The 12117-nt window shown below is 36.9% G+C and overlaps 1 protein-coding gene across 27 annotated transcripts in view; it reads right to left on the reverse strand.

Annotated features, from left to right (window-relative positions):
• Nucleotides 1-12117, reverse strand: part of EVI5 (ecotropic viral integration site 5) — a 283715-nt gene that overhangs the window by 112699 nt on the left and 158899 nt on the right. For all 27 annotated transcript variants that reach the window (NM_005665.6, NM_001308248.2, NM_001377212.1 and 24 more), the window contains 2 exons: nucleotides 4400-4540; nucleotides 2782-2940 (listed from right to left, as the gene is read on the reverse strand). In NM_005665.6, the coding sequence (NP_005656.4) occupies nucleotides 2782-2940; nucleotides 4400-4540 (300 nt within the window). The remainder of the gene's footprint in view (nucleotides 1-2781; nucleotides 2941-4399; nucleotides 4541-12117) is intronic.

A 12117-nucleotide genomic window follows, 5' to 3' on the forward strand; every position in this document is an offset into this window, starting at 1 on the left:
TCCACCTACCGGGTTCAACCGATTCTCCTGCCTCAGCCTCCCGAATAGCTGGGACTACAGGCATGTGCCACCACACCTGGATAATTTTTTTGTATTTTTAGTAGAGATGGGGTTTCACCGTGTTGGCCAGGCTGGTCTCAAACTCCTGATCTCAGGTGATCCACCTGCCTTGGCCTCCCAAAATGTTGGGATTACATGCGTGAGCTACTGCACCCAGCCAGTTTTTATAGCTTTATTGAGATACAGTTCACACATTATAAAATTGACCTCCCTCAAGTGTACATATATTCAGTGGTTTTTAGCCTATTGAGAGTTGAACAATCATTTATCAGACTGCATTTTAAAAAGTACCCATCTATATGTTGTTTATCAGAGATATAAACACATAAACTGAAATTAAGATGGGAAAAAATGTAGTACAATTTATCTTAAGAAATCTAAATCAAGGCAGGGCACGGTGGCTCACGCCTGTAATCCCAGCACTTTGGGAGGCCAAGGTGGGTGGATCACAAGGTCAGGAGTTCAAGACTAGCCTGGCCAACATGGTGAAACCCCGTCTCTACCAAAAATACAAAAATTAGCCAGGCGTGGTAGTGGGCGCCTGTAATCCCAGCTACTTGGGAGGCTGAGGAGGAGAATAGCTTGAACCCGGGAGGCAGAGGTTGCACTGAGCTGAGATCTGGCCACTGCACTCCAGCCTGGGCGACAAAGCAAGGCTCCGTCTAAAAAATAAAAATTAAAAAAAAAAAGAAATCTAAATCTAAAATATTAAAAACCTGAATCTAGCAATGGGAATGTGTTGTATCTCTATGTGATCTACAGCACAAACATGTTTTTAGTATTTTGATAACTGTACCTCAGTAGAAGTGGCTTCCTTTGCAATCCTTTGTACTTGGTTTTACGCATTAAAAAATATTATTTTAAGAAGGGGTCCACAGGTTCCAGACTGCCAACAGTGTTGATAGCAGACACAAACACAAAAACGGTAAGAACCTTTGTACTTAAGAAACTCTTGAAGATATACACAAGGAAACATAAGCAAGAATGTTCAGAGTAGCACTGTTTGCAAGAGCAAAAAGGAGAGTGGATCAATAAATTGAGGTATAGTCACTGACAGACTTTTCTAAAAGTCCTTAAAATGACAGAACTGGAGTTACATGTATAAACATGGACAAATTTCTTAATCTAAATACATGGGTGTTTGATACAATAATCTTTAGATTACTACACACCACCACCATTACCCTATACTATTTTTATTTATTTATTTTTCATTTATCAATGTAAAAATTTCATGGATTACCACCAGTCCAAATACTGGCATTTAGGAACCAGTGCCTATTACCATCCTGCTTCCAGCAAAATCCATCCAAAATCACACTTATTAGTCAGCAATGGTATTAAGCACAATACAAATTCCTTAGGAAATCTTTCTCCAAACCACCTAGTTGAAATTAATTTTCCCCGCCTAGTCTCCGTAGCAATTCCTATCTAACTCTCTACTTACCAAATTTCTGAATTATATTAAATATAGTCTATGCATACCTGATTTCTCAAGTGTAAGTCCTTTAATGGCTGAGACAGTGCTTTGTGTTTCACAAGTTCTCAAAATCATGTCTACTGGATTTGATTTATTCACCTCTACCCACTGTGAAATAAATCCTCAACAATGGCTTAAAAGCTGTGTTTTCATCTTTAGTATCTATACTAAAATAAAATCTGATTACAAAAATAAAACTTCCCATTGTAAAACTTAAGATTTCTACTATTCATAATCTCAATAGTACCTCTTCCTATTTTAATTATACTGAATAAAATAACGTGTGGAAAGTATTTTATATAGAATAATACAAGAAAAATATAAGAAAATAACTTTGAACAATGTAAAACAAGATATATTTATTCTGAAGAAATTACATATTCATGTTACCATGTTTGAGATTATGATCATTTTGCACTGGAATACAGAATGATGTATGAGTTAAGTATGCCCCCTACTGACTGAATAAATACTTTAAAAGCCAAAAAACAACATTCACAGAGTATAAGAATATGGTCCAAACAAATGTACCACATGAAAACCAAATGTGCCTTTACCATGCAAATGGGTTTCATAAAAAGACCTTTGCAGATCTTAAGTATATTTAAGATAGAATTTATTGGAGAAAAGAGAGACCTGAGAAGAAAGAAGGGCAATTTTGAATTCACTGCCCAGGGTCACCACATTAAACAACTTTAGGAAGCATCATTCACATTATAGTATACATCTGTGGTTCCCAATTGGGGCAATTTTGTCCCCCAGGGGACATTTGGCAATGTGTGCAGAAACATTTTTGGTCATCGCAACCTGAGGTAGGAGAGCCGTTACTGGCATCTAGTGGGTAGAGGCCAGGGATGCTGCTAAACATCTACAACGCATGGACCAGCTCCGTAAAACAAAGTATCTTCTAGCCAAAAATGTTAAAAGTGTTGAGGTTGAGAAATTTTGCTCTGCATGGTGTTCCTTCTCAAGTCATGCAACAGGGCAATGCTATGAGTTTTACCCAAAAAAGTCAAATAAAATTTGACTTCCTTGAACTTTGTTGAATGGGTCAAAGAAGGATTAAATCTCTGAAATCCAATATAATAATTTTTTGCCATCTTCATTTGGGCTAGAAAACTGCGGTCTATACAGCTTCATATCTTTACCTTTTATCTCTGTTCTAGGGATGATACAATCTGTGCACAAACCCTTGATCAGCTAATGATACTTTTTAAAGATACTGGGCTTTCCCATCATACCTGTGTTTCCATTTCCATCATCCTTTGTTTTATTTCTCTTATTTCTGCTTGTGTTTCAGCTTCTCTAAGTCGAATGGTCATCAGTTCATCTTGTAACTCATTCATAGCATTTTTCTTGGGTGGGTCTTTCCATCTCCCAGTAGTACGAGCTAAGTGGCGCTAAAGCATAAAAAATTATATTGCAACAAATACTCTCAGTATCAAAATAAGAGCTAATATTACTGAGCGCTTATTTCAGGCCTGTGATATATAAAACACTTTCCACACATTATTTTATTTAATCCCTAGAAAATCCTATTAATCAGGCACTATTATCATCTGAATAAAAGGGTTTCATAAAAAGACCTTTGCAGATCTTAAGTATATTTAAGATAGAATTTATTGGCCAGGCGCAGTGGCTCTCACACCTGTAATCCCAGCACTTTGGGAGGCCAAGGCGGGCAGATCACCTGAGGTCAGGAGTTTGAGATCAGCCTGGCCAACATGTTGAAACCCTGTCTCTAGTCTCTACTTCAAAAAAAAAAAAAAAAAAAAAAAAAAAAAAAGAATTTATTGGAGAAAAGAGAGACCTGAGAAGAAAGACAGGCAATTTTAGAATTCACTGCCTAGGGTCACCATATTAAACAACTTTAGGAAGCATCATTCACATTATTGCCATTATTGGTTCCCAACTGGGGCAATTTTGCCCCGCCAGGGGACATTTGGCAATGTGTGTGGAAACATTTTTGGCTTTTCACAGGTAAGAAAATGAACACTGTGATTAAGTAACTTTAGGAGGATCACACACAGCCAGTGCAGATCTGGGATATAAACTCAAATACAGTTCAAATTTTTTCTCTATATACTGAGGATTAATTCTTGAAAAGATTACAATTTTCACTGTAATTTTTTTAATGAGAGATTTTTCATATTATCTTCAATGAAATCCCAATACATTAGAAAAAAAATGGGGCCATTAAGGAAGGAATGTTAGAAGTTAAGGGCAGTGTTTCTCAAAATATCTGTGATAAAAGACAAGTTTTGTCTTTTTTGTTTTAAAATTTCAAGTTTATTGCAATCTGATACTTTGTCAAAACATGTTTTAAAAAAAGGCATGACAATGTCAAGGCCTAATTTCGGTCCTTATATAGAATATGTATTTTGTTCCTTGTCAACATTTCCCTCATACATGAATAAATTTGTGGTCACATACCAGATAAATGTCATTTATCTGGTGAGGTAACTAAGTTACTAATTTATACATTAAATTTATAATGTTGTCACCCTTCTGGTGTTTCACACTAACCAACAATGGACTTAATATCAAAGTTTAAGACAAAATATGTATTATATAGAACACTTTCACAGTTTGCAGAAAAAGTTACACAAGGCACAATGGTACAATGACAAAAATATTATCTGATGTCTACTGTATCTTTTATTTTATTATAAGAATTAAAGAGGGAGAAACAGCTTAAGTGCACTTTCAGTTTATAAATACTCTCAATTTTGACATTAAACAGGGTCTCTCTCACTTTAAACTCATCTACTATAGGTCATCAGGTACTTCAAACTCTTACAAATTGGATATTTCGGTTTTACTCTCTTTTAAAAAAGCACACAAAATATATTAATATACCTGCCAGTGTTCCTCTAAATCCTTGACTTGCTGTCTAAGTTCTTTCAAACCCATAATGGCTTCTGCTTCTCTAAGTTTCACAGCAATGAGTTCTTCCTGAAGCCTTGCAATATTATTCTCATCAGGAAGGGAGTTATTCCTCTAAAGAAGAAGAAAATTTAATTTGGGATTTTTAAATTTAAGGAATAAAATACAGCACACACAACAGCTATTGTGTTCCACACTTAAATGTATTTAATTTTATACAGCTATACTGAAATATAATTCACAAACTATGAAACTCACCCTTTTAAAATACACAAGAGCCAGTGGTTTTTAGAGTATTTACAGGGTTGTTTAAACATCACCATGACCTAATTTCAGAATATTTTTATCATGCAAAAAAGAAAACCTATACTCATCACCAGTCATTCTACATTCCCCACTTCCCCATCCCCTGGCAACCACCAATCTACTTTTTGTTTCCATGAGTTTGTCTACCTGGACATTTCTTATAAGTGGAATCATATGTATTTATAGCTTTCTGTGACAACCTTACTTCACTTAGAACAATGTTTTCAAGGTTCAATCTTTTTTTTATGCCAAATGATATTCCACTGTATAGATATACCACATTTAATCTATTTATTCATCAGTTAATAGAAATTTGGGTTGTTTCCACTTTTTGACTATTATAATGTTGCTATGAACATTGGTGCAAAAGTTTTTGTGTAGACTTAGGCTTTCCATGTTCTTAAGATATACTTAGGAGTAGAACTGCTGGCTCAGATGGTAATTGTTCTATGTTTAACTTTTAAGAAACTGCCAAACTTTTCCAAAGCAGCTGTACTGCTTTTCATTTTCACTAGCAATGTATGAGGGGAACTGCACTTAATTTTGAGAACACAGAAATCTAACTCTGATTTGTTAATAAAATACTAATCAGAGTTACGGAGCAACAGGATTAAAATTTTTTTCAATATGGCAATAAACTTACTAACTTCTGATCAGGACTCCAGATAAAGCATGAACATCATTTACTTTTTAAATATTCATAGAAAATAGTAGTCCAAAATCTGTTTTTGTTGTATTTCCTCAGCATGTTATTTTTGAGAGGCATCAAATCTCTGTGTATTAGTCACTATTTACATCAACAGTCAAGAAATTAATACAAATTAAACAATTTACCAATTGATTCAAATGAAATGACTGAAATTAACTTGATTCATGGATACAAGGTTTATTTATATTTTTCCGTAAGTTATTGGGGTACAGGTGGTATTTGGTTACATGAGTAAGTTCTTTAGTGGTGATTTGTGAGATTTTGGTGTACCCATCACCCAAGCAGTATACACTGCACCTTATTTGTAGTCTTCTATCCCTCACTCCCCTCCCACTCTTCCCCACAAGTCCTCAAAGTCCACTGAATTATTCTTATGCCTTTGCATCCTCCTAGCTTAGCTCCCACATATCAGTGAGAACATACGATGCTTGGTTTTCCATTCCTGAGTTACTTCACTTAGAATAATAGTCTCCAATCTCATCCAGGACACTGCAAATGCTGTTAATTCGTTCCTTTTTATGGCTAAGTAGTATTCCATCATATATATACATATATACACCACAGTTTCTTTATCCACTTGTTGATTGATGGGCATTTGAGTTGGTTCCACGATTTTGCAATTGTGAATTGTGCTGCTATAAACATGCGTGTGCAAGTATCTTTTTCAAATAATGACCTTTTCTTCCCTCTGGGTAGACAGATACCCAGTAGTGGGATTGCTGGATCAAATGGTACTTCTACTTTTAGTTCTTTAAGGAATCTCCACACTGTTTTCCATAGTGGCAGTACTAGTTTACATTCCCACTAGCAGTGCAGAAGTGTTCCCTGTTCATTGCATCCACGCCAACATCTACTGTTTTTTGATTTTTTGATTATGGCTAATCTTGTGGAAGTAAGATGGTATTACATTGTGGTTTTGATTTGCATTTCCCTGATCATTAGTGATGTTTAGTATTTTTTCTTTTTTTTTTTGAAACGGAGTCTTGCTCTGTCGCCCAGGCTGGAGCGCAATGGCACAATCTCGGCTCACTGCAACTTCTGCCTCCCGGGTTCAAGCAATTCTCTGCCTCAGCCTCCCGAGTAGCTGGGATTACAGGCGCCGGCCACCATGCCTGGCTAATTTTTTGTATTTTTAGTAGAGACAAGGTTTCATTATCTTGGCCAGGCTGCTCTTGAACTCCTGACCTTGTGATCCACCAACCTCGGCCTCCCAAAGGGCTGGGATTACAGGCGTGAGCCACCGCACCCAGCCGATGTTTAGTACATTTTCATGTTTGTTGGCCATTTGTATATCTTCTTTTGAGAATTGTCTATTCATGTCCTTAGCCCACTTTTTGATGAGATTGTTTTCGTCTTACTGATTTGAGTTCGTTGTAGATTCTGGATATTAGTCCTTTGTCACATGTATAGATTGTGAAGATTTTCTCCCACTCTGTGGGTTGTCTGTTCACTCTGCTGACTGTTCCTTTCTCCGTGCAAAAGCTCCTCAGTTTAATTAGGTCCCAGCTATTTATCTTTGTTCTAATTGCATTTGATTTTGGGTTCTTGGTCATGAAATCCTTGCCTAAGCAAACGTCTAGAAGGGTTTTTCCAATGTTATCTTCTAGAATTTTTATAGTTTCAGGTCTTAGGTTTAAGTCCTTAATCCATCTCTTAAGTTGATTTTTGTATAACGTGAGAGAAGAGGATCCAGTTTCATTCTCCTACATGTGGCTAGCCAATTATCCCAGCACACGGATACAAGACTTAGATCAATTTCCCACCATATTAAAAGATAAAAAGGATACAGGGTAGCCCAGTATCAAACTTCTCTGGAGAGTTACCAAGAGATCCAAAATGAGGCCGTAGGGAAAGCTCCCTAGATAAAAAGGTAAACTGAGGTAACACTGAGATTTCAAGGCCTGATTCTATGAAATTTTCTATCTCTAAATATTTCACGGTACACATGCAAATTTTTGCTCATAGGGATGATGGAATGAAGTTATTCTCACCAATTACACTTTCTTATAATGGACTTTAAATATTTTCTCAATTGAAAACCAAAAATTTACTGCATATTCATTTAAAAGACTGCTGGAAGCAGAAAAAAAGAGGATGCTGCAGGAAGAAATTACCATAGGAAGCATGCTACCTTTCAAATTCCTTTCTACTTTATAACATGAAAAACAACACAGCCACTTACGAAATCCATTTTTGAATGGAACCCAAATACACTTCTATCAAATATTCAAAATCTTTCTAATTGTAAGACACAGATTCTGCTCTAAATCATGTAACCCAGAATACGCCTAAGTTAAAGACCAAATATTCTGTTAGCCATTTCTTTCAGCATTCTTGCTGGCTTTTTTTCTCAACAAATCGAGATAATACATTATCCAGAAATATAAAAATAGGAAGGAGCTTTCTAGCAAAATTATTCCATTACTGATTCTAGTTACACTTGTTCTGTTTCATTAAGAAAATAGTTAAAAACACCTGAGACTGTTATGTCCATTATCTATCAGGTTTTTGGATTCAGTAGGTAGCTATTACCTAAGAGTAAAAAGGAACAAACGACACAGAGCCCAGGCCACCAATAAATTTACAGATAAGGAAACAAGAGATTTGGAGTTTGTAATCTAGAACTTTTAAATCTGAAAGCTATAAGAAACCTGAAGTTCTTCTACTCCCATTACTTATCTCATCTTTGATGTTCTTTAATATCCTTGAAAAGAAGTTAGCTTCTGTAAGTACATTCAGGCTAAAAGGAACTTCCTACATATCCTGAGGTAACTTGTTCTAGATTGGACAGTTCTAACAACTACACTCAGATGAAATTTTCTTTTTTTTTCTTTTTTTCTTTTATTATACTTTAAGTTTTAGGGTACATGTGCACAATGTGCAGGTTTGTTAAATATACATACATGTGCCATGTTGGTGTGCTGCACCCATTAACTCGTCATTTAACATTAGGTATATCTCCTAATGCTATCCCTCCACCCTCCCCCCACCCCAAAACAGGCCCCAGGGTGCGATGTTCCCCTTCCTGTGTCCATGTGTTCCCATTGTTCAATTCCCACCTATGAGTGAGAACATGTGGTGTTTGGTATTTTGTCCTTGTGATAGTTTGCTGAGAATGATGGTTTCCAGCTTCATCCACGTCCCTACAAAGGATATGGAACTCATCCTTTTTAATGGCTGCATAGTATTCCATGGTGTATATGTGCCACATTTTCTTAATCCAGTCTATCATTGTTGGACATTTGGATTGGTTCCAAGTCTTTGCTATTGTGAATAGTGCCACAAGAAACATACGTGTGCATGTGTCCTTATAGCAGCATGATTTATAATCCTTTGGGTATATACCCAGTAATGGGATGGCTGGGTCAAATGGTATTTCTAGTTCTAGATCCCTGAGGAATCGCCACACTGACTTCCACAATGGTTGAACTAGTTTACAGTCCCACCAACAGCGTAAAAGTGTTCCTATTTCTCCACATCCTCTCCAGGACCTGTTGTTTCCTGACTTTTTAATGATCACCATTCTAACTGGTATGAGATGGTATCTCATTGTGGTTTTGATTTGCATTTCTCTGATGGCCAGTGATGATGAGCATTTTTTCATGTGTCTTTTGGCTGCATAAGTGTCTTCTTTTGAGAAGTGTCTGTTCATATCCTTCACCCACTTGTTGATGGGGTTGTTTGTTTTTTTCTTGTAAATTTGTTTGAGTTCATTGTAGATTCTGGATATTAGCCCTTCGTCAGATAAGTAGATTGCAAAAATTTTCTCCCATTCTGTAGGTTGCCTGTTCACTCTGATGGTAGTTTCTTTTGCTGTGCAGAAGCTCTTTAGTTTAATTAGATCCCATTTGTCAATTTTGGCTTTTGTTGCCATTGCTTTTGGTGTTTTAGACATGAAGTCCTTGCCCACGCCTATGTCCTAAATGATACTGCCTAGGTTTTCTTCTAGGGTTTTTATGGTTTTAGGTCTAACATTTAAATCTTTAATCCATCTTGAATTAATTTTTGTATAAGGTGTAAGGAAGGGATCCAGTTTCAGCTTTCTATATATGGCTAGCCAGTTTTCCCAGCACCATTTATTAAATAGGGAATCCTTTCCCCATTGCTTGTTTTTCTCAGGTTTGTCAAAGATCAGATAGTTGTAGATATGTGGGATTATTTCTGAGGGCTGTTCCATTGGTCTGTTCTGTTCCATTGATCTATATCTCTGTTTTGGTACCAGTACCATGCTGTTTTGGTTACTGTAGCCTTGTAGTATAGTTTGAAGTCAGGTAGTGTGATGCCTCCAGCTTTGTTCTTTTGGCTTAGGATTGACTTGGCAATGCAGGCTCTTTTTTGGTTCCATATGAACTTTAAAGTAGTTTTTTCCAATTCTGTGAAGAAAGTCATTGGTAGCTTGATGGGGATGGCATTGAATCTATAAATTACCTTGGGCAGTATGGCCATTTTCACAATATTGATTCTTCCTACCCATGAGCATGGAATGTTATTCCATCTCTTTGTATCCTCTTTTATTTCATTGAGCAGTGGTTTGTAGTTCTCCTTGAAGAGGTCCTTCACATCCCTTGTAAGTTGGATTCCCAGGTATTTTATTCTCTTTGAAGCAATTGTGAATGGGAATTCACTCATGATTTGGCTCTCTGTTTGTCTGTTATTGGTGTATAAGAATGCTTGTGGTTTTTGCACACTGATTTTGTATCCTGAGACTTTGCTGAAGTTGCTTATCAGCTTAAGGAGATTCTGGGCTGAGATGATGGGATTTTCTAGATATACCATCATGTCATCTGCAAACAGGGACAATTTGACTTCCTCTTTTCCTAATGGAATACCCTTTATTTCCTTCTCCTGCCTGATTGCCCTGGCCAGAACTTCCAACACTATGTTGAATAGCAGTGGTGAGAGAGGGCATCCCTGTCTTGTGCCCGTTTTCAAAGGGAATGCTTCCAGTTTTTGCCCATTCAGTATGATATTGGCTGTGGGTTTGTCATAAACAGCTCTTATGATTTTGAGATACGTCCCATTGATACCTAATTTATTGAGAGTTTTTGGCATGAAGGGCTGCTGAATTTTGTCAAAGGCCTTTTCTGCATCTATTGAGATAATTATGTGGTTTCTGTCATTGGTTCTGTTTATATGCTGGATTACATTTATTGATTTGCTATGTTGAACCAGCCTTGCATCCCAGGGATGAAGCCCACTTGATCATGGTGGATAAGCTTTTTGATGTGCTGCTGGATTCGGTTTGCCAGTATTTTATTGAGGATTTTCACATTGATGTTCATCAGGGATATTGGTCTAAAATTCTCTTTTTTTCATTGTGTCTCTGCCAACCTTTGGTATCAGGATGATGCTGGCCTCATAAAATGAGTTAGGGAGGATTCCCTCTTTTTCTATTGATTGGAATAGTTTCAGTAGGTATGGTACCAGCTCCTCCTTGTACCTCTGGTAGAATTTGGCTGTGAATCCATCTGGTCCTGGACTTTTTTTGGTTGGTAAGCTATTAATTATTGCCTCAATTTCAGAGCCTGTTATTGGTCTATTCAGAGATTCAACTTCTTCCTGGTTTAGTCTTGGGAAGGTGTATGTGTCGAGGAATTTATCCATTACTTCCAGATTTTCTAATTTGCATAGAGATGTTTATAGTATGCTCTGATGGTAGTTTGTATTTCTGTGGGATAGTTGGTGATATCCCCTTTATCATTTTTTATTGCGTCTATTTGATTATTCTCTCTTTTCTTCTTTATTAGTCTTGCTAGCGGTCTATTTTGTTGATCTTTTCAAAAAACCAGCTCCTGGATTCATTGATTTTTTGAAGGGCTTTTTATGTCTCTATTTCCTTCAGTTCTGCTCCGATCTTAGTTATTTCTTGCCTTCTGCTAGTTTTTGAATGTGTTTGCTCTTGCTTCTCTAGTTCTTTTAATTGTGATGTTAGGGTGTCAATTTTAGATCTTTCCTGCTTTCTCTTGTGGGCATTTAGTGCCATAAATTTCCCTCTACACACTGCTTTGAATGTGTCCCAGAGATTCTGGTATGCTGTGTCTTTGTCCTCATTGGTTTCAAAGGACATCTTTATTTCTGCCTTCATTTTGTTATGTACCCAGTAGTCATTCAGGAGCAGGTTGTTCAGTTTCCATGCAGTTGATCGGTTTTGAGTGAGTTTCTTAATCCTGAGTTCTAGTTTGATTGCACTGTGGTTTGAGACACAGTTTGTTATAATTTCTGTTCTTTTACATTCGCTGAGGAGTGCTTTACTTCCAACTACGTGGTCAATTTTGGAGTAGGTGTTGTGTGCTGCTGAAAGAATGTATATTCTGTTGATTTGGGGTGGAGAGTTCTGTAGATGTCTATTAGGTCCACTTCGTGCAGAGCTGAGTTCAATTCCTGGATAACCTTGTTAACTTTCTGTCTCACTGATCTGTCTAATGTTGACAGTGGGGTGTTAAAGTCTCCCATTATTATTGTGTGGGAGTCTAAGTCTCTTTGTAGCTCTCTAAGGACTTGCTTTATGAATCGGTTGCTCCTGTATTAGGTGCACATATATTTAGGATAGTTAGCTCTTCTTGTTGAATTGATCCCTTTACCATTATGTAATGGCCTTCTTTGTCTCTTTTGATCTTTGTTGGTTTAAAGTCTGTTTTATCAGAGACTAGGATTGCAACCCCTGCCTTTTTTTGTT

The sequence above is a fragment of the Homo sapiens genome, chromosome 1, assembly GCF_000001405.40.
Source record: "Homo sapiens chromosome 1, GRCh38.p14 Primary Assembly".
NCBI lineage: Eukaryota > Metazoa > Chordata > Mammalia > Primates > Hominidae > Homo > Homo sapiens.